General features: G+C 46.4%; 1 long non-coding RNA gene and 1 other non-coding gene across 4 annotated transcripts in view; one reads left to right on the top strand and one right to left on the bottom strand.

Moving 5' to 3' along the window:
• LOC105373430 (uncharacterized) overlaps nucleotides 1-23709 on the bottom strand; it is a 34063-nt gene that overhangs the window by 8401 nt on the left and 1953 nt on the right. For 2 of the 3 annotated variants that reach the window (XR_922803.3, XR_001739287.2), the window contains one exon: nucleotides 9140-9307. This is a non-coding gene — a long non-coding RNA (uncharacterized LOC105373430). Of the gene's footprint in view, nucleotides 1-7752; nucleotides 7971-9139; nucleotides 9308-23709 lie in introns of those variants that run through there. The other variant, XR_001739288.1, reaches the window with a different exon arrangement.
• On the top strand, nucleotides 20898-20951 carry MIR4262 (microRNA 4262). Its single transcript, NR_036226.1, has one exon. It is a non-coding gene; the product is annotated as a microRNA 4262 (primary transcript).

Here is a 23709-nt window from a genome sequence, read left to right as displayed (position 1 = left end):
AAAGTGATAGAGAAGCCAGCACATTCTGACTCCAGCACACGTGCACCTCATCACCGCAGTTACTGCTCACAAGTACCTGGAAGCGAGACATGCAGCGCAGTAGTCCAAAGTGATTGTCCCTGTTCCTTGCAGAGGCCAGGAGGGATAATAACATCACACTTCAGTCCTAGAAGTCCCAACCTCCCAGGCCAGCCCTGATTCTCACCCCTTCTGGTGCACATGCCCTAGAGTGATTCAAGCCCCAAACCCGCTTCCTCCCAACCTCCATTCTCTCACAGCCACCTTCCGACCACCTATCATTCACCCTGCTCCTTGAATACTGTGGCCCACTGTGTTCCTGCCCAACTCTGCTCCTGCCACTACACATGATGACATCGAAGTCCCTAAGGATGACCCACTCAGTGCCCTCTGTGCTGGTGTCTGTCCTGCTCACTGTGAACCACCTTTGTCCCATCAACCTTGGTAATCCATGCCCAAGGGTACATCCTGGACTCTATACGTGACAAGGACTGCACCACTTCTGACCTCTCAACTTCAAATGGCCCCTAACTGTCCACCATATCCTTGCTTCCTCTAAATCCCTGGCCCTGGTATTCCCCATGGAATGGGGTGTCATGCTTCAGTGAGGCCAAACCTCTGAGCTCCCTATGTTCCCAGAGGTGGTCCCACCCCCCTGCCCCGTGTTTCTGCCCCTTTGGACCCAGGTGTGCTTCTCTGGTCCCTCACCACAGCCACCCCATTGCTGTCCCTCCATCGAACTGTCCCCTGGATAAGCCCCAGTCCTGGTTAAATACAACCAATCACCCTGTCCCTGCCTATCCAGGTCACTGAATATTGCTGAAGAAAGTCCACACAACAAAACTTATTGGTTCACTCTAATCCCACTACCACAAATCTCAGATGGGCACTCAACCCTGCCCAGCAGTCCTGTAATATCATTTCCCCTCTCTAACACAGCTGTTTAATTCTTTTCTTCTCCCCCACATAAGTCCCTTAACCCCTCAATTCTCATGGGGGACGCTACCAGAAACACATTCACCTTCCCACGTCTTCCCTCCTGTTACAACGGCAGCGTCCTGCTCCTATCCAAGGTGGGGCCCTCCTTTATACTGAAGAATGCCACCTGTTGCCTTCTCAAGCACTCTGCTCCCCTCGAATCTCCTCTCTTCCCTCCTTCCTCAAGCTCTCCCTTTCTCCTGGGTCATTACCTCCAGCAACACACAAGTTCCCATTGCTCCTGTCTTCAGAGAGAGAGCTAGAGAAAAAATCTGGATAAAGAGTCCATGGGCCTTAACTGTATGATTCTTTCAACTTTTCTATAACTTTCAACCTTTCCAAATAAAAAGTGGAAATACATGACAATGGAAAAAATGTTAAGAAATCTTACCATGGGTTTCACACTGGATCCTCTTTGATATGTATGAGACATTCCAGTAAACTTTTAAATTGCTTTTAAAAAAATCCCCTTCACCTCCTCCCCTTCCGTGTATTCTTCTTCATGGCAGAATTCCTCAAAATGTCATCCACATTCACTGCTTCTACTTCCTCACTTGCATTCTGCTGAAACTGTTCTTATCAAGATTCTAACGACTTCCTGGATTTCAAGTCTAATGGCCTCATCTCCCCAACTGCCTAGCAGGTATTGCAGATTTAACATGTTTACAGCGAACTTCAATGGGCTCTTGTCTTAGTTGTCCTGCCACCGCTATTTCGCTAGTTCAACCCAAGAATGCAGGAGGCATCCCTGATTTCTCCCTTTCCTTTAAGCCTCATATTGAAACAATTAAAAAATCCCCATGGTTCTACCTCTACAGCATTTCTTTTTGAGATGGGTTCTTGCTCTGTTGCCCAGGCTGGAGTGCAGTGGTGGCATGATCACAGCTCATGGCAGCCTCAACCTCCTGGGCTCAAGCGATCCTCTCACCTCAGCCTCCTGAGTAGCATGCACCACCACGTCTGGCTAATTTTTTTTTTAATTTGTTTGTGTAGAGACAAGGTCTCTCTACCTCACCCAGGCTGGTTTCGAACTCCTGGCCTCAAGCAATCCTCCCGCCTCGGCCTCTTAAAGTGCTGGGATTACAGGCGTGAGCCACCTTGCCTGGCCTCAAAATATTTCTTAATTGTCCCTCTGCTGTTTATTCTTCCCACATCCCCCCTCCTTAAAACACCTCAGTTACTTCCCCACACTCTTAAAATAAAATCCACTCGAGCTTATCACCATGGCTGAGCAGACTCTGAGGAAGCTGCCACCTGCCTTCTTCTTCTTTGCCATGGGTCACACCCCCTCTCCTCCGCAGCTGTCACGCTGGCCCATCCTTCCCCGCCGGGGACACAGTCGGCCCTTTCTAGCTCCCAGGGCTCTGTGCTTGCTCTTCCCCTGCCTGGGAAGCCCATTTCTCAGCTCACCCAATGGATGAATTGTGCTCACGCTCACTACTTAGCTTAGACACAGGCCACCCTTAACCACCTATCTAAAGCACCCACCTCCCCAGCCAGGGCCCTGCAGTAGCTGCCTCTCCTCCACTGCTGGCTTTTTTCAGAGCCTTCTCTTGCTGACGTTGTACTGCCTGTCCTTCCAACTACAAGGGAAATGCCAAGATGACAGACTTGGTCTCCTGTCGCCATGGTGCAGGGTGATGGATGAATGAGCTACAGCTCAGCAGAGGCCTAGCAAGGCAAAAGGAATAGGAGCAGTGGGTCTAAGTGCTCACCCTGCATCATCTGTGCAAATGCACAGGCAGTCTGGGAGCACTGGGTCTAAGCGCTCACCCTGCATCATCTATGCAAATGCACAGGCAGTCTGGGAGCACTGGGTCTAAGCACTCACCCTGCTTCATCGCGGCAAATGCACAGGTAGTCTGGGAGCACTGAGTCTAAGCACTCACCCTGCATCATCGGGGCGAATGCACACATAGTCTGGGAGCAGTGGGTCTAAGCACTCACCCTGCATCATCCGGGCGAATGCACAGGTAGTCTGGGAGCAGTGAGTCTAAGCACTCACCCTGCATCATCGGGGCAAATGCACAGGCATTCTGGGAGCAGTGAGTCTAAGCACTCACCCTGCATCATCGGGGCAAATGCACAGGCATTCTGGGAGCAGTGAGTCTAAGCACTCACCCTGCATCATCGGGGCAAATGCACAGGCATTCTGGGAGCACTGAGTCTAAGCACTCACCCTGCATCATCGGGGCAAATGTACAGGTAGTCTGGGAGCACTGAGTCTAAGCCCTCACCCTGCATCATCGGGGTGAATTCACAGGTAGTCTGGGAGCAGTGAGTCTAAGCACTCACCCTGCATCATCGGGGCAAATGCACAGGCATTCTGGGAGCACTGGGTCTAAGCACTCACCCTGCATCATCGGGGTGAATTCACAGGTAGTCTGGGAGCAGTGAGTCTAAGCACTCACCCTGCATCATCGGGGCAAATGCACAGGCATTCTGGGAGCACTGAGTCTAAGCACTCACCCTGCATCATCGGGGTGAATTCACAGGTAGTCTGGGAGCACTGAGTCTAAGCCCTCACCCTGCATCATCGGGGTGAATTCACAGGTAGTCTGGGAGCAGTGAGTCTAAGCACTCACCCTGCATCATCGGGGCAAATGCACAGGCATTCTGGGAGCACTGGGTCTAAGCACTCACCCTGTATCATTTGGGGCGAATGCACAGGTAGTCTTTATCTCACCATCCTACCTAGATGCTGAGAGGAAAATGCTTTCCAGGGACAGGGTTGGAGCAGTGGGTCTAAGCCCTCACCCTGCATCATCGGGGTGAATGCACAGGCATTCTGGGAGCACTGGGTCTAAGCACTCACCCTGTATCATTTGGGGCGAATGCACAGGTAGTCTTTATCTCACCATCCTACCTAGATGCTGAGAGGAAAATGCTTTCCAGGGACAGGGTTGGAGCAGTGGGTCTAAGCCCTCACCCTGCATCATCGGGGTGAATGCACAGGCATTCTGGAAGCAGTGGGTCTAAGCCCTCACCCTGCATCATCAAGGCGAATGCACAGGTAGTCTTCCAAAGGCTTCAGCCCTGAACATTCAGGCCATTCAGGGCAGGCGACCAAGAAGGGCTTCTGTCCTGATTGCAGCTACTTGAGATGCCCAGAAACGCAGCGCCAACCCTGTCCCTGGAAAGCATTTTCCTCTCAGCATCTAGGTAAGATGGTGAGATAAAGACCTCCATGTCTGTGAGTGTCCCCCTTGCCACCTCACAAACAGCGCAAGTGTTTTCATCATTGTTTCTTTATGCTCTTTTCACTAAAATCCTCCAATAAACCTTATCACCTATGGGGGTTCCAGGCCATCATATTTGACCCCAATTGCCATTCTGGCCTCATGACCCATGGTCCACTTGTGTGGGCAGCACTCCAGGCCCCCACAACCCAAGGCACCTGCCTGCCACAGTTTTAGGCTTTGGTGTAGACTTGGCCCCCAACCAGGATTGTTCCCGTTATTTTTCCCACCTCTCTAAAACTGACCCCTTCTTCTTCAGAGCTGACTAAAGCTGACATGTATTACTGGCTCTGTGTCATTGCATGGAAACGTTACCGCCGGGGACAGCCAAAAGGCTGCCACAGTCAGAAGCATGAAGAATAGGGTGGGAAGATGGTGTGGGGAAGGGGGAAGAGAACAGGATTTGGAGTCCGGCAGATGAGAGTTCCAAACCTACCTCTGCTGCTTCTCAACAACACAGGCAGGAGCAAGCCACTTCCCTTCACCCAAAAGTAACAGCAGAATCCCTTGTCATAGTTTTATGTGACAATGACATGAAATCGCGTGTGGAAAGTATTCGGCACACAATCAGGGTTCTATCATTGTTCCTTCCTTCTTCCCCTTCCCCCTCCCTGGCCTGCCTAACACTCTGCTGTGAGTTGGCCCTGCCTGGGTCTCTGCAGTTCCCTTCCCTGAAATAGCGGTTCTCCTTCCTCTCCCCCTAAATACAACTTGAAAGCCACATACTGTTCCAGTTGAGAAGATGTTTTTCAGCCTCTCTGCCACTTTCAGTTCTGATCTGCAGCTCACAAACCTCTCAGGAGATTCATTTTGGGATGATATCACTCCAGCCTTCCCTACTTTATGTCCGTCCATCTATCCTTTGTTATTCTGAGGAAATAAGGACTTTCACTATTCCAGCTCTGCCGCCGCTCACCTAACTTGATGTTGGAAACCAGGAGAGATACCTGGGTTCAAGTCCAGCTCCGCCACTCACAGCTTATGCAATCTCAGACACATCCACAAAATGTACCTTCACAGAGCAGTATTCATCTATCCACTAAGCTTGAATTCATTTTTTGTTTGTTTGTTTTTGAAATGGAGTCTCACCCTGTTGCCCAGGCTGGAGTGCAGTGATGTGATCTCAGCTCACTGAAACTTCCACCTCCAGGGTTCAAGCAATTCTCCTGCCTCAGCCTCCCACCATGCCCAGCTAATTTTTTTGTATTTTTAGTATAGACAGGGTTTCATCATGTTGGCCAGGCTGGTTTCAAACTCCTAACATCAAGTGATCCGCCCTCCTCGGCCTCCCAAAGTGCTGGGATTACAGGCGTGAGCCACCGCACCCACTAAACTTGAATTCAATGCGCATGGCTGACATGTGAACATTCTTTAAAATCTACAGACTGCCAATTCATTGTAGTTATTCTGGAAAAAGGAAGGGTGTTTTCTCCACCATTCTTCTCATATCTGTGAACATTAGGGTACTCGGCCAAAAATACAGTTCCTGATCTGTTGTATCATGCCTTCTTATGATTTGTCTCTCTGCCACTAGGCTATGGGTTTCTTGGGGGCAGAGATGGAATTTGATCTCTGGCTTCCCGTGTATGAGCATGTAAGTTTTTGGCACAGAGAAGCTGGAGTCGGTGACTACCTGAAAAAATGACTTCAATGTAACTAAACCACTCACCCACCATCTCTGGGCCCATTTCTTCATCTGCAAGATGACGATCATATTCCCTCATGAGCCAGTGGAGTGAAGGTTCTCTTTGTCAGCCTCTATCACTCTTTCCGGAACCCTCCCACCGCCCGGTTAGATGCCCCAGCTCTTGCCCAAGTCACAGTGGTTTCCATGCTCCTTAAGGCACCTCTATCTCAGGTAGAGTCTGTATGATGAACTGTAGTCTCACGGTGTGGATTTGTAATCATGTCAAAGCCTCACTAATGGTCTCATAGAAATGTCATGTGATTTCCCCAGGGGCTCAACTGTCCAGGAAGAGCCCTGCTCAGAGTAAACTCATCACTTGGAGTTGGGGGCTGAGGGCAATTAAATCCTAAAGATTGCGGATGGTGAAAATCCAGACGCCACAACCCCTGACAAGGTGCAGGCTTCCTCCAGGCCACCCTGAAACTTTCTGCCTGGAGGAATGTGGTGGAGAACAGGCTTTGATGTCATCCATTCACCCAACATCAATGGGGTACAATCCAAGCCTAGCCATTTACTAGCCACGGGTGACAGCAGGTAAGTTAATTTACCCCCTTGAGCCTCAGTTTCCTCATCTGTAAAAAGGTGACAAAGATACCTTGTAAGGCATTAGTGTGAGGATTCGATTAGACAGATGTGTTAGAATCATTAGAATAACTAGACAAATAGAAGAATTAGAAATAGAAACCCGTCACACAGTGGCTATATTATTGAGCCACATGGTAAGGATTCAGTAAATGAAACTAAATTTAGTATTTTGACTCTATCACTTACTCCTTGTGTGACTTTGGTCAGGATACCTATTTTGGGGGCCCTAAATTTTTCCTCTGGAAATTAGAAACTGCTTCTCCAAGCAATCCCATCATGCATGGAATGCACTATCATAGATGCAATGTCATCTAGCATGCCACCTGGCACTCTCCCAGCCCAAGGGTAACTTCCTTTGCCTCACTCACATTAGTCGGAAGCTTGAAGAGCAGAAGTCCAGGAGGTTTTGTTTGTTTTGTTTTGTTTTGTTTTGTTTTGTTTTGTTTTGTTTTGAGACAGAGTCTCACTTTGTTGCCCAGGCTGGAGTGAAGTGGCCCTATCTCGGGTCACTGCAGACTTCACCTCCCAGGTTCAAGCAATTCTCCTGCCTCAGCCTCCCGAGTAGCTGGGATTACAGGAGCACACCACCACACCTGCATAATTTTTGAATTTTTAGTAGAGATGGGGTTTCACCGTGTTGGCCAGGCTGGTCTCAAACTCCTGACCTCAGGTGATGCACCCGCCTCAGCCTCACAAAATGTTGGGATTACAGGCGTGAGCCACAGCACGCAGCCTGGGGTCTTATAAAATATGCCCCCCACCCCACGGCCGACAGCCTCTAGGAGCCAAAGAGCTACCCAAAATTGATTCTGGGATTGCCCCGAAGCAATTTTAAGAAATGATCCAACAGACCTCAAGTTGGCATCAGCTGTTGTTCAGCACACCTACTGTGCACCAGCCCCCGAGCCACACACTGGGCCCTGAGATAATTGTTTCCGGGCTCAGTCCGAGGCCAGCTCCGGAAAGCAGGCCTTTCCATGAGTGAGCTGCAGACCTGTCAACGGGAGCCGGGCATGCCTCCCACGGAAACAGGGCGCCCCTTCTCGGGCTGCAGGCACACTTCCAGGGGAGCTGGGCACACAGCCGCAGCTGGAGGCCAGCCGGGCCGCGGACACTCGCCCAATTGTGTGAAGGACCAATGGGAGAAACAGTATCCACTCTGAGATGCACAAAGCTGCTGTCAGCCTCCCTCTCCAGGTGCTGCCGAAGGGAGCCTTCCAGGGGCCTTTCAGGGACAGCCGGGAATTGTTCCTAATGTGTCCACTGCAGGGCCATCAAGACCTTCCCACGGGGCTCCTTTCAGCTTTCACTGAAATTAATTAGCAAATGGAATCCGAGTAACGTGATAATAGGTGTTGCTCGAAAGGAACTTCTGTAGCCGCCTGAGTTTCACTTTCTTGTGGGAACCCCTCTCTCGCCCATTGTCGTCCCAGATGTCATCAGGAATAGGCACAATTTGTCCTCTTCACAGATCAGAGCAGAGAATCAGACTATCAGAGTCAGAAGGGGACTGAAAATTTACCTAACCAGTGGTTCTTAAACTTTAGGCGGTACCAGAACACCCTCCCTATCCTCCCGGTTTAGTAAAACACAGATTACTGTGCTCCGTGCCCTGCATTTCTGAGCTGATGGGTCTGGAGTGGCGCCTGAGAATTTGCACTTCTAAGGAGTTCCGAGGTGATGGGACAGAGACCACCTGGGAAAAACCACCAACCAGGCCAATCTTTCAGTGTAATGGGGAGAAACAGAAGCCCAGAGAGGAGAAGGGACTTCCGGAAGGGACGCCGGGCATGAGAACGGGTCTCCCTCCCGACACTCAGGGCAGGTCTCAGCCCATCAATCCGAGACCTTCCAGCTTGTTTCTGCTGTGACCCTCCGGGATCATGCTGATGTCTCTGCACTCCACCACCAGGAATAATAGCAGAAACCAACTGAACGAGCAGGGAGATAGAAAGCATCAGCTGGAAGCTGTTTTGATGCGTTTTCAAAAAATAGTTCCTGAAGGTCCACATGGAGGAAATAGAGCATAGAGTGGGCTAAGCCGGAGGTCCGGTGGCTCAGTGTGGCTGCCATGGGGCAGGCCAATAAGCCCTGGGACAAGGTGCCCTTTGAGACCTGTGCATTATTGTGTAGAAAACAGCGAACAGCTGAAGGAGAGGAAGATCAGTTTGAGTGCACTGGGGAGAAAATCACAGGGACAGGGATTGGAAGCCCAGTGCCTAGGAAGAGGCTGGTCAGTGACCCAGCATGAAACACCCTGAGCCAGAGCCCTGGGGACAGGACAGGCTGCGGGGGATGGGCAGAAACATGAGCTTCTATCATGTGATGGTGCCAGATATGTAGTGGATGCTCCAAAAACCCCAAACCAGGGTTGCCAATACCCCACACTGTGCACATCACACAGCCTGGACACCGTTTCCACAGCATCTGCAGAGCATTGGGCTATGAGAGGGAGGCTGTCCAGCTTGTACGGGACTCTGCCTCGTCATCTCAGAAACACAGGCTCTGCTCTAGCAGCAGCATCACCTGCAGCAGCATCGCTAAGGCCCGGCAACAGGGCACAAAGCCTCGGGGGAGGGAGGCAGTTCATCCTGCCATGCCCTGCCTCTGTCCCGCCTGCCCCTCCACTTACCCAAAATGCATGTCTCAGGGATGCTGTCCAACCGCAGAGTGGAGTCTGCACAGAGATCTTCACAATCCCTGAGCTGGTGGAGAGTAACACCTTCTGGCTTTTGTGCCAGCCTTGGGTTCAAGTTCCTCGGGTGTTCAAGTTATGCCCAGGGCCTTCATTCTGCTTACCCTGGGGACAGTTTTGAGAATTAAGTTGTAAGAAGCATAAAGTACCTATCATGGTACCTGACATAATAGATGCTCAATAAACCACTATCACAATAGCAGTCGTCACCTCACCCTGGCCCAAGGATGATCTTTCTCCCCTACAGTTCTAATCCTGGGCAAGATGCTGCCTCCACAATTTTTTTTAATTATATACTGAAGGCCATGGAACAAACAGAAAAACAGCAGTACCTTTCCCAATAAGGTAAGGTGATGTGGCTTAACTGTGTCCCCACACAAATCTCATCCTGAATTGTAGCTCCCATAATCCCCACACGTCATGGGAGGGACTCAGTGGGAGATAATTGAATCATGGGAGTGGGTTGTTTCCATGCTGTTCTCATGATAGTGAGTAAGTCTCTTAAGATCTGATGGTTTTATAAAGGGCAGTTTCCCTGCACATGCTCTCTTGCCTGCTGCCATGTAAGATGTGCCTTTGCTCCTCCTTCACCTTCTGCCATGATTTTGAGGCCTCCCCAGCCATATGGAACTGTGAGTCCATTAAATCTCTTTTTCTTTATAAATTACCTAGTCTTGGGTATTTCTTCATAGCAGTATGAAAATGGACTAATACACGAAGACTCCTGAAAATGCCTTCTGAGGTCTACAGATCTGACAAGAGCAGACCCATTTGGGTAGACAACAGGTTAGAGTTCATGCCTTCACTCTTCCTCTGGGTACTTGAGTGCTTGTTGGAGACTTGTCAGTGAAGTCAGTTTTAAACCCAGGCAGTCACGTGTCCACTGCGTTCAGAATTGGCCACCACTGAGCCACCAAGGCCCAACTGCCCTCACAGCTGTGGTCAGGATGAAAGAAACTGTATAAGTGTTGGGGGCCCCACTGCATGTAGAAGGACTGAAAGTGTCTAAAATGAGACTAAAAGATCTTTCTCTCTGAGAACACAGGGGCTAATAAAGAGGAGGCAGCCTTTGTTTTGAGGGAAGTTTCCCAACAGTAAGAAGTCAGTGAACAGGTAAAACAAGGAACTTTGAGCTTGGTAGACAAGACAGGTGAACAGTTGGCTCCTCAAACATCTCCAGAGGGCTAGGATGGAGAAGAGACGTCTCAGAGCTGAGACTATGCCGAGGGAACCTGTTAGAGGGAACACAAGAGCACAGAAAAGTCAAGTTCACGCCTGAGCATAGTCTGACAGTTCAGTTTAGCCACAAGGATGTGTGCATTTTATTTTATGATTTTGTCTTTCTCTAACTTGGGTTTTTATGTAGAAACTACTCTTTGTCCAATACAGGCACATTATATTCATTAAATAATAATAGCAAGGGCTGAGCACAGTGGCTCATGCCTGTAATCCCAGCACTTTGGGAAGCTGAGGCAGGTGGATCACTGGAGGTCAGGAGTTCTACACCAGCCTGACCAACATGGTGAAACCCTGTGTCTACTAAAAATACAAAAATTAGCCGGGTGTGGCGGCGTGTGCCTGTAATCCCAGCTACTCGGGAGGCTGAAGCAGGAGAATTGCTTGAATTCAGGAGGTGGAGTTTGCAGAGCCGAGAAAGCACCAACTGCACTCCAGACTAAGCCACAGAGCGAGACTTCACCTGGAAAAAAATAGGAATAATAGCAAATACTTAGATGGTGCTTAACATGCACCAGGCACTGTTCCAAGTGTATTAACTCATTTCAGCCACACCACAGCCTACAGGTTTCATCTTTATTCCAAAGACAAAGAAATTGAGGCACCAAGAGGCTAAGTAACTTGACCAAGGATGCAGTTAATGAGCCACAGCAGTGCGGCTTCTGAGTCGCTGCTTTCAACCACTATGCACGCTCCCAGGGGCTCCCCTCCCGGGATTCCCGCCACTGAGAGCCAAACAAATCATAACTAATGACTTACTGATTGGCCTGCCTCTTCCACTACCCCTACTACCTGTCTACAAGCTCCTTAAAGTCTGTGATTTGCTCACTGTGCGGTCATTAGCTGTGCATTAGCTTAGCACATGCCTGGTATAACAGGCCTTCAGCAAATGTCGAATAAGCAAATGCAATGAATGAAGAGATGTGTTGGAAACAAGTCCTCATATCAGCTTTTAAAAAAATACAGAGGAAGGGTCAGGCATGGTGGCTCACGCCTGTAATACCAGCACTTTGGGAGGCCAAGGCGGGCCGATCACAAGGTCAGGAGATGGAGACCATCCTGGCTAACACAGTGAAACCCCGTCTCTACTAAAAATAAAAAAAAAAATTTCCTAATTGAATACCCTTTATTTCTTTCTCCTGCCTGATTGCCCTGGCCAGAACTTCCAACACTGTATTCAATTAGGAAAAGAGGAAGTCAAATTGTCCCTGTTTGCAGATGACATGATTGTATATCTAGAAAACCCCATCATCTCAGCCCAAAATCTCCTTAAGCTGATAAGCAACTTCAGCAAAGTCTCAGGATACAAAATCAATGTGCAAAAATCACAAGCATTCTTATACACCAATAACAGACAAACAGAGAGCCAAATCATGAGTGAACTCCCATTCACAATTGCTTCAAAGAGAACAAAATACCTAGGAATCCAACTTACAAGACATGTAAAGGACCTCTTCAAGGAGAACTACAAACCACTGCTCAATGAAATAAAAGAGGGTACAAACAAATGGAAGAACATTCCATGATCATGGATAGGAAGAATCAATATCGTGAAAATGGCCATACTGCCCAAGGTAATTTATAGATTCAATGCCATCCCTATCAAGCTACCAATGACTTTCTTCACAGAATTGGAAAAAACTAAAGTTCATATGGAACCAAAAAAGAGCCCGCATCGCCAAGTCAATCCTAAGCCAAAAGAACAAAGCTGGAGGCATCACGCTACCTGACTTCAAACTATACTACAAGGCTACAGTAACCAAAACAGCATGGTACTAGTACCAAAACAGAGATATAGACCAATGGAACAGAACAGAGCCCTCAGAAATAATACCACACATCTACAACTATCTGATCTTTGACAAACCTGACAAAAACAAGCAAAGGGGAAAGGATTCCCTATTTAATAAATGGTGCTGGGAAAACTGGCTAGCCATATGTAGAAAGCTGAAACTGGATCCCTTCCTTACACCTTATACAAAAATTAATTCAAGATGGATTAAAGACTTACATGTTAGACCTAAAACAATAAAAACCCTAGAAGAAAACCTAGGCAATACCATTCAGGACATACGCATGGGCAAGGACTTCATGTCTAAAACACCAAAAGCAATGGCAACAAAAGCCAAAATTGACAAATGGGATCTAATTAAACTAAAGAGCTTCTGCACAGCAAAAGAAACTACCATCAGAGTGAACAGGCAACCTACAGAATGGGAGAAAATTTTTACAATCTACTCCTCTGACAAAGGGCTAATATCCAGAATCTACAAAGAACTCAAACAAATTTACAAGAAAAAAACAACCCCATCAACAAGTGGGTGAAGGATATGAACTGACACTTCTCAAAAGAAGACATTTCTGCAGCCAGCAGACACATGAAAAAATGCTCATCATTACTGGCCATCAGAGAAATGCAAATCCAAACCACAATGAGATACCATCTCACACCAGTTAGAATGGTGATCATTAAAAAGTCAGGAAGCAACAGGTGCTGGAGAGGATGTGGAGAAATAGGAACACTTTTACACTGTTGGTGGGACTGTAAACTAGTTCAACCATTGTGGAAGACAGTGTGGCGATTCCTCAGGGATCTAGAACTAGGAATACCATTTGACCCAGCCATCCCATTACTGGGTATATACCCAAAGGATTATAAATCATACTGCTATAAAGACACAGGCACACGTATGTTTATTGTGGCACTATTCACAATAGCAAAGAATTGGAACCAACCCAAATGTCCATCAGTGATAGCCTGGATTAAGAAAATGTAGCACATATACACCATGGAATACCATGCAGCCATAAAAAAGGATGAGTTCATGTCCTTTGTAGGCACATGGATGAAGCTGGAAACCATCGTTCTCAGCAAATTATCGCAAGGACAAAAAACCAAACACTGCCATGTTCTCACTCATAGGTGGGAATTGAACAATGAGAACACTTGGACACAGGAAGGGGAACATCAACACACTGGGCCCTGTTCTGGGGTCGGGGGAGAGGGGAGGCATAGCATTAGGAGATATAACTAATGTAAATGATGAGTTAATGGGTGCAGCACACCAACATGGCACATGTATACATATGTAACAAACCTGCACATTGTACACATATACCCTAGAACTTAAAGTATAATAAATATATGTATATTAAAAAAATAAAGAAATAAAATGTAAGAAATATTAAAAAATAAAATAAAATAAATAAACTTAGTTTAGGCAAAGTTGCATTAACCTTCTGTAGGTAAATGTCTTCCAGTTTAATTATTTTATAAATTAGATTCTATCATCTCTTTAAAATTTTATAATACATTTTATTAGCTACCATAAAAAAAATACAAAAAATTAGCGCGCATGGCAGCATGCACCTGTATTCCCAGCTACTCAGGAGGCTGAGGCAGGAGAATGGCTTGAACCTGGGAGGCAGAGCTTGCAGTGAGCCAAGATCATGCCACTGCACTCCAGCCTGGGCAACAGAGCGAGACTCCATTTCAAAAAAAAAAAAACTACGGAGGAAGGAGACCTAATACTGATTGGATATGTACTCTGTGTCAGGAAGTTTGTATATACAGCCATGCATTGCTTAACAACAGGGATATGGTCTGAGAAATGCATTGTTAGGTGATTCCGTCATTGTGCAATCATAGAGTGTACTTAACACAGACCTAGACGGTAGAGCTTACTACCCACCAAGGGTATATGGTATAGCCTATTGTTCCTAGGCTACATATATGTACATGTTACTGTGCTGAATACAGCTGGCCATTGTAACACAATGGTAAGTATTTAGGTATCTAAACATAGAAAAGGTACAGTAAAAATACAGTATTATAATCTTATGGGACCACTGTCACATATGCAGTCCATCACTGATCAGAACGTCACTATGTGGTGCATGACCACATTATCACTTTTAATCTGCAGGACAGTCCAGTGAAAAAGTATCAGCCCCATTTTATAGATAAGGTGACTGAGACTCAGAGAGGTTAAACAACGTGCCCAAAGCCATTATCCTGGCATTCACCACTGTCAGGAAAAGACTGTGCAAGGATTTGAAATGGGAAAAAGCAAACTAGTGAGTGTTCTTTCTAGAGCATCCTTCCAAGCTATCTGCACTTTCTGAACATCTTTGTGCTATTTTACAACTTTATAAGTTGAAGAAAACTGATAATGCAAGTAATGCAAATAATTCCTGTCCATGGAAATGCAAATCAATTTTGGGCCTTGAAGATACAATTGATTATTGCCCTGTGGACACAACTTGTTTTGCATCTATATGCAAATTCCTTTCCAATACCTGATTGCCTATATGTGTGTGTTCATTGAACTTGTTTTTACATTTTACCAGTTTCCTCATTAATTAATAAGTTAAATAAAATCCTTGGCTTGCATTCATTATATATTTTCATGAGAGTCATGATTTTACCTTTAACTTTAACACCAGTTAGTATTCAAATCCAAGTTTGTTGGTTCTTTCCAGTTAATTATACATAAACACACGCACACACATATCACTGTTCATAACAAGTTCTCTTATCATTAAGCTTTCTGTCAAAGGCAAACTAACCTTGGTTGAAACTGAAAAGCTATACACATTTAAATAGATCTTTAAACAATAATGTATTTTTCCATATTATCTAATAAGGGCTGAATTAGTAAGATTTGACTTGAGTAATATGGCAGGTCAGCCATCAGTGACAGCCCTGGATTCCTACTAGAACATGCATCTGTCGTTTTTGTTCCAAATATTTTCTGTGCTTTCCTGCCTCCAACTTCACCAGATCCAAAGGGGATGAGCTGTGTATTTTCATCTGTTTCTCCTAAACTACACTGTGGCCAAGAGCAAACTGGCACATGGTCAGGGCTAAATAATGCAGGTTGCATTGAACTGAGTTGGATTGAACTAAACCCGTGCTCAGCCTCTGGCATCTGTCCAGGAATGCTTGCCTTCCAACAATGCCAGGTCCTAGTGAATGGTCTTCCAGGGATACTATACTGAGAAATCTCAGGATTTTTCCCCATAAGGTGACCAGAAGTTTTCCAAAGCAGGAAGAATGGCTGTTGCAGTCAGCAGGCCCTGGGTGAACAGACCCAGTCCCCACCACACCACTGCCCCTACCACACACACACACACACACACACACACACACACACACACACACACACAATGAGATCATGGTCTTATGGGACAGGTTCCGGAGTCGGACAGCTCTCAGCTCAAGTCCTAGCTACATCACTCAATACTTTTTTGAGTTTCAGCTTTATCATCTCTAATGGTTAATTTCACGTGCCAGCTTAGCTAGATTAAGGTGCCAGGTGTTTGATCAAACACAGAAACACAGTCTAGATGTTGCTGTGAAGATGTTTCTAGATGTCACCAACATTTAAATTGGTAGATTTTGAGCACACAAAATGACCTTCTGTAATGTGAGTGGGCCTCATCCAATCAGTTGAAGACCTTAGGAAAAAAAGACTGAGGTCCCCTGAGGAAGAAGAAATTCTGCTCCTGACTGCCTCTGGACTTGAGCTACAATGTCAGCTCTTCCCCAGGCCTCCAGGCTGCCAACCTGCCCTGCAGATTTCAGGCTTGCACGCCCACAACTGCATGCACCAATTCCTTAACATCTCTCTTTCTCCAAATGAAAGAGTATTAAATCAGAGTCCAGGGGTGCTGGATTGTGCATAACTGGGTTTTCTGGAATGTTGTGGAGTAATAAGAAATGTATTTTCTTAGACCCAGCAAGAATCCACCTTGACTGACTAGTACTCTGTAGATAAATGAAGGGTCAAAAGAAGCTACAATGAGACATGAAGTATCTTTACCTGTCTTCTACTCTGTGTAGCCACCTCACTTCCAATAAGTATCTGCATCTTTGGCTAAATAAATAGGAAACTTAAACCTTAGAGTGTTTTTTTGTCTGGAATGATGGGGTATAAATCCATAATTCGCCTGGAATGCTGCACAACTAAAAAAAATAAAGATTATTTACTAAAATTTCACACCTTTTGAGGATTACTTTACCACCCCGTAAAGGTCAGTTATTAAGTAGATTGTTGGAATGGCATTTGGATGTTTACCATCACCCATACACCCCCAGGCCATTCTATTTGATCAAATGCAGACAGAAACCAATAGGGTGGCTGCTGTCATCAGATTCTGGGGTACACTCACTGAACTTGATTTAATCGTGCAAGTGTGTCTATGAATTAACTGTCTCCTGAGGGTAGGACAGCAGCTGTAAAACCACTCCCTCAACTTCTACTATTTCATGGGATTCCCCAAAGGCTCTGAAGTGAGCAAGAATGGGATATTAATTAAATTAGCTTCAAGGCTACATTATACCCTATTCTGAAATTTACCCTATTCTATTTCACACAGTACGTAAGTTCAGCAGTGTGGTCTATTATGGTCCTGGAGAGATCATACGGTGCACCCAAATATATATTGAAGAAGGATCTCAAATATGGACACTCAATTCTTTCTCATTTTTAGATTTCCACATAGGAATTAAAGTCCAAATAAATTGAGGTAAAAATAATTCTCTTTTCAAATTTCCCTTTCTTCTCAGTGTTAGAGAGAGGGGTTTCTGGTGGAAGTAGATTTCAGATGGATTTCTCCTGAAGACACTGCTTCCCAAACCACTTTTCAATGGACAGGATTCTTTTGGCATCTGCAAAGGACTGGAAATCTAATCCCAAGTCTTCCTGGGCCCCACTTTTCCAAGAAGCCAGTAACAACCATAAGATTCTCTCACTACCATCCCCTCACCCATAAAATTTAGAAAACTCAAGCAAATTTCAAGCCCTTAGAAAAGCTACTACAAGTAAAATCATGATGGCAGGACCAATTCGTAATACAGTTCAGACCCCAGCCAAACACCATAACTAGGGAATTTTTGAAAGAAGGAAAATATATGGAAAAGTTAGGTATGTATGATTTCAGCTTCGCCAGCATACCAGCAAGTTCTGCCAATTGTTTGGTATATTTTATCTATAAATACAAATTCAACAGACAGACTTCATCTTTGAGGAGGCTCATGATGATAGTTGCAAATTGCCTGCCCTCCAGACACTGGCTTCAGTCCTCCAGCAAACAAGAAATGGGAAGTCTCTGCATCTCATTAGAGGCTCTCTTCTGCCTCTTACAATCTCTTCATTTCTGGCTCCCCGGGTGGTCCTGGCACCCCCATGCTGAAGCAAATATCAAGATCTGTCCCTACTCTCCTATCAGAGAAGCATGTCACATTTATTTTTAGCGTCTTGTTTCCTGATAATTCCACTGTGGGTTTTCCCGTGCATTACTCAAGAAGATGGAATATCCCTTGTAAAACAACCTCTTCCCTCCAGCCCACAAAGGTCTTTATCCTTTTGTAGATAAAATCCACCATCACGCTGCTGTGGTTGAAGCCACAGTCTGAGTCTTTCAAATCCACAATGACAATCAGAGTTTATGATGTAAACACTCCAAGTTGACCCCACTTGGAGGGTGTAGATAGAGACTCAGATTCAATTGGTTTGGGTTGGGACTTGGGCATTAGTAATTGTTTAAATTGGCCCCCTCCCCCAGTTAATTTTAGCCTACAACCCAGATTAAGAATCCCTGCTGATGAGGTGCAGAAGGTGCTCTGTTCTTAATCTCTCTCACCAGCATCAGCTGCAGCCGTCATTCTGATGGGACACACAAGCCGCTGCATCCCGTGCAGAACAAGTGAGGCTGGAGATCCTGCAAATCAAGGCTCAGCTCCCCACCCTGAAAATCTCCTTTTCATGCAAAACTCACAAGGGGTATTCTCAAAGATTTCCAGCCAAAATGTGCCATAAATATCAATTACTCCTCCTCCATTCCTCAATTGCAATGCATATAAACATAACAGAATTAACAGCCATTGATGAACGTATCCACTGCAGCATGATTCAGTTAATTGGTATATCCTTCACCTCATATACTTACCCTTTTTTTGTGATGAGAACATTTAAAATCTACTCTCAGCTGGGCATGGTGGCTCACGCCTGTAATCCCAGCACTCTAGGAGGCCAAGGCAGGCGGATCACCTGAAGTTGGGAGTTCCAGACCAGCCTGGTGAACATAGTGAAACCCTGTCTCTACAAAAACAAATACAAAAATTAGCCACACGTGGTGGCACACATCTGTAATCCCAGCTACTCAGTGGGCTGAGGCATGAGAATTGCTTGAACCTGGTAGGCAGAGGTTGCCGTGAACTGAGATGACGCCACTGCGCTCCAGCCTGGGTGACAGAGTAAGACTGCATCTCGATAAATAAATAAATAAATAAAATCTACTCCCTTAGCAGTTTTAAAGAATATAATACATTATCACGGTCCTCAAAGTATATAAATATCAAAGCATCACGTTTTACACCATAAATATATTCATTTTTCCTTTATTAAAAATATTTAAAAATTGTTTAAAGAATACACAGGCACATAGGAAGCAAATGTCAGTTTCACTCATCTGGACAAGTTGTCAACAACCCCCATTCACTCTGGAAAAATACAAGAAGAGCTGGTATGGAGATCACACCTGGGTCTGAGGCCAAATGAGGCACTGCACCTACCTGTCTATAGGTATGAAGACAGCCAGGTACCCACTCAGCCAGGTGTGGGGAGGGGAGAGATCAGAAGCCTGCTGGGTGCACATGGGCACTTAGAGCTGTGCTTTGGGGACCCCAGAGAGGCCGAGGCATGCCCTCCAGCCTCCCAGCACAGGGGAGACCTCAGCATGTGTCAGGGGTCACCTCACCACGCAGACTGGCCCTCCCTGTTCCTGTGGCTTCATGTGTCCTTGAAAGGGCAGCCAAGGCTGGCTGACGGGGCAGGGAATGGACAAGGAGCAGCCTGGAAGGGCTGGCACCATTCTGAAACTCTGCAGAGTGGACCTTCACCAGCGGCTTCTCCAGCAGGAGCTGCCTCTCCCCTGTCACCTTGTTTGGAACAATGAGGCATGTCCAGACTGAACACGTTGCCTCACTGGCCACTCGCTGGCTGTTCCTCAGGGTCAACCACTCAACCTGCCTCAGGTGGACCTCTGGACTTCCATGCAGGCCTCAGCCGGCTCTGTGTTTCTGGGCTGCTGGACTCTGTAATGGGCCCTCCATGCACTCATGTGTCTGTGCTAGAGACTTGGAAGTGATCCCAGCTTCCTCCCCGGCTCTCCTCGGCTCCCCTCCTTCATGCCTGTGTCACTGCCTCAGTTTGGACCTTCAGTTTCTCCATTCTGAGCCACCTGGAGTCTTCAGGTAAGGTTCCTTGCTCCTGCCCAGCCCCTCCCATCTGTCACCACCACCACCTGGGTGATCCCTCTAAAGCATCACCCAACTCTGCCATTCCCCACTCCTCCTCCCTTTAGTGGCCACCAAGTGCATGGGAAATGAGGCCAGGCCACCTGGCTCATGATGTGGCCCTGCTCACCCCTTAACAGCATCCCTGCTGCACTTCAGAGCCAGTCCTCCAGCCACACTGCTGCCCGTCCATTGCCCTGTTTTCCCTGTTCCCTGGGTGGAAACGTCTTCCAGACTTTGAGGAAGGAGCAAGAGACAAATCATAACCAAATTCCTCCCTGACTGTTGGGCCAAGTAAGATGGAGACTAAACTGCTTGGCTCTGTCCCTTGGAGTTCATTGAAGACATTGAGTGGGTACCGTGGAGTGGGAGCCAAAGGTCAGCTTGGAGTGGGTGCAAGAGGGAAGGAAAGGGAGGAAGGGGAAAAGCAAGGACAGTCAGCTTCTGGTGTCCATGGTGGATTGGTTTCGGGACCCTTGTGGATCTCAAAATTCATGGATGTCAAGCCCCTGATATAAAATGGCATAGTATCTTTATGCAACCTATGCACATCTTCTGTGTACTTTAAATAATCCCTAGATTGCTTATAATGCCTAATACAATGTAAATGCCATGTTAATAGTTGCTATACTCTATGGGTTAGGAAATCATGATAAGAAAAAAAGTCTGGATGTGTTCAGTAAAGACAGATTTTTTCCCAAATATCTTTGACCCATGCTTGGTTGAATCCACAGATATCAAACCCATGGATTGGAAGGGCAGACTATATAGTCATCTCTTCCAAGAATTTGGCCATAAAGGGAAGCAGAGAAATGAGTGGTCATGGAGAGGAATATGAGTTGGGGCTGGTTTTACGCTGATGGGACACATCACAGCAGATCTGTATGATGATGGGAATGATTCTGTAGACAGTGGGAATTTGAGATATAGGCATTGGAGTGGCTAATGACAGGTGCATTGTCCTGGAGTTGGGGAAAAGAGGCAGGACAAGGTGCTAGACTAAAAGTGGGCATTGGAGGCACTTGCACAGTGAGCAGTAGGGCTCCTCGGCTGCTTCCCTGGTCCAACTGTGGCATGTGACAGGCCGTTCACCACAAGCTCCACCTCCCGCCATGAGGCCAGGCAGCCTCTCTGCAGATACCAAACCACCCCAGAGAGGAAAGCTGCAGGTGCTGATGTTGGGGGGACATTCAGACTACCTGCAGCAGAGCCCATGGCTGACAGGACCTGCACACCCCACAAAGAGACACCCACACCCCCCATGTTCACAACACAGACACCCACACACACACCCATATACACCCCACAGACACAGACCCACACTCATATACCCACACCTACCCACAGATAGACGCAGACACCTGCCATCCTGCACAGGCACCTCCCAACCCCACAACGTTTTAGTGCATCTCTCTTACATATAAACAGATATAAAGTATTACCAGACACTTGAGGGAAGTCGCCCATAGAAACCAAAGCAAACGAGCAAAATTTGAGGAGTTACTATTGAGATAATTCAGGAAACAGAAGAAAATTTCACAGACACTATAACTAATGTCTTCAGAAGGGTAGACTGAAGGGTAGACTCACAAAATTAGAGATGGATACCACAAAAAAAAATTAAGAACAATCCATTTGGGATCTTGGAGACAGGGCCTCCAATTAAGGAGAAAAGCAGAGAAGACTCCAGATTGATGGCTTGTTGGGGGTCAGAGCAGCCCTGTTAGACTGGAATGTGCGGGGAGAGCACTTTAGTGGGAGGGTTTCCAGGAGGAAAAAAGGAGACATGTATTTAACAATGTGGAAAATATTACAGAGATTTTTTTCCCATAACATTTTTTGGGGGCTGAGGAAGGAGTTAGTAATAATTTGAAAAAATAATGAGCCATAAAAAATGGAGCATATTAACTCCAGGGAAGGCCAAAAGTTATAGAAATAAAAAAAAACATGATATTTTTATACTATAAGGCTTAGGGATGGGAAAAAGCACATATGAAAGACAAAAACTTCATCTGGCATCGTAAGTCAATAAGGAATGCCTAAATTTCATTAATCGAAATATTGTAGTATGTTCATTTTACTTAAAAATATCAAAGTAAATTCCAGAATAAACAGGGGCAAGGGTTGAAAATGAGAATCAGGAGGGGTGTGGGGGAGGGGGGCAAGTAGGACCAGCCATGTGGATTTTGTGTGTCTTCTGGTAAAAATCTTCAACTTTTAAAACTATGTGAATATGTTATTTTGGTTTCAAAAAAAACAGTAGACTGAAAACTATAAAAAGCCAACAAAATAAAGGGAGAAAGAAAGAAAGGAAGGGCAAAAAGAGAGGCGGGGGGAAAGAGGTGGAAAAGGGGAAAGAGAAATTGACCAGCAGGGACAACAGACACAGCTCTTGCCTGCTCTCTTCTCCACTCTATAATGTTTTCTCACTAGTCAGATTCTTCAAGGACAATCCCTTTTATTCCATCTGGTGGCCAATTTGAAGAGTGCCTGGAATGGGCATTGATACAACAGTCGCTATTATGTCTGTCTGAGTGGTGTTTTGTACTTCAGAATTATACTCGACAATAAAGCATTGGAAGAAAGAAAATGTCATTGCAGTGCCTACTATGTGGATGACGCAATGCCAAGCATTAGGGGATCTAGGAGCTTATGTCTGGTTGGAGACAGACATTGAAGAAATCATGCACAGAAGCGGGGCAGGTGCAGTGATAGAATGTCAGTGTCCTGTGAGGGTGCCACACAGGGAGGGTCTAGTCTACCTGGGGGTAAAAGTGATGGGTGTTTTCAGGGTAGGGAAGGTCTCCTCTCAGGAGGGACACCTGGACAGTCCTTGGACCTTGGATTTTCTCTACTCCCTTCAGTCTCTCCCTGGGCTCATCCTGCCCTGTGGCTTTCATCACCATCTGTGTACTAATCATGCCCAAATGCCCACTGTCAGTCCTGAGTTCTCCCGTGAAAATTAGAGTGGCATATCCATTGCCCACTTGACTTGTCTTCTTGGATGTCTAATCATTCTTTCAAACCTACACGTCCAAAGAAAACTTGGTTTTCTCCCCAAGTTCAGCTCCTCTCAGTTTTCCCCTTACAGTGGTCTGCAAGGCCCTTCACAACTGGGCTCCTGCTACCTCCACCACCTAAGCTCTAGCCATGCCAGCCCCTCATCTCCTCACCCCGTGCCCCCAGCTCTAATGTCACTGCAGTAGAGGGGTGGACTCCTTGCTTCGTTCTCTGGGAAATGGTGCCTTTCCATCACTCCACTTTCCTCTCTCCCCTGCTCCTTTTTTATTTGCAGACCTTATTACCACTCGACATGTTATTGGTTTCTATGTCCGTCATGCAGAGTGCAAGCACCGTGAGGACAGGGATTTCATTGTTTTGTTCACTGCTTTAGTCACTAATCTTAAGTACCCAAACTGTCTTAGCATGCAAAAAGTATCTGAAAGACATTCTGGAGTCTTCACCATGCTGGAAGTTTACTTCTCACTCACACAAAGTCCATTTTAGTACTTGGCAGGCTACCTTCCACAGAGTGACTCAGGGACCCAGTTTCCTTCCTTAGAGATCTTTGCTTCTAGTTGATGGACAGAGACAGAGAAGGTGACAAAGGAACACCTGCTTTTTAACTACCTTGGCCCAGAAGTGATTCAGGTCGCTGCTGCTCGTGTTCCCATTGGCAAGATGGAGTGACATGACCCCACCTAATATGGGGGCGGGGGCTGGAAAATACAGCCCCTGCTAGGCAGCTGCTTTTCAGCCACTACTCTACAATATGCAAGGAAAGCAGAACTCTTCAGAGGACAAGCAGCCATCTCTCCCAGATCTCCTGAAGTTCAGGGTCTCCAAACTCCCTGTCTCTGCCCCCCACATATACAGGAAGCCCCACCCCAGTGAACATTTCCACCAGGATATAATACATCAGGAATTCAGCAACTGAACGTGTCACTCCTTTGTATTATTACTCTATTGT

This window comes from Homo sapiens, chromosome 2, assembly GCF_000001405.40.
Source record: "Homo sapiens chromosome 2, GRCh38.p14 Primary Assembly".
NCBI classification, from domain to species: domain Eukaryota; kingdom Metazoa; phylum Chordata; class Mammalia; order Primates; family Hominidae; genus Homo; species Homo sapiens.
The sequence above is the reverse complement of the archived record's forward strand: the minus strand, read 5'-3'. Positions and strand labels throughout refer to the sequence as shown.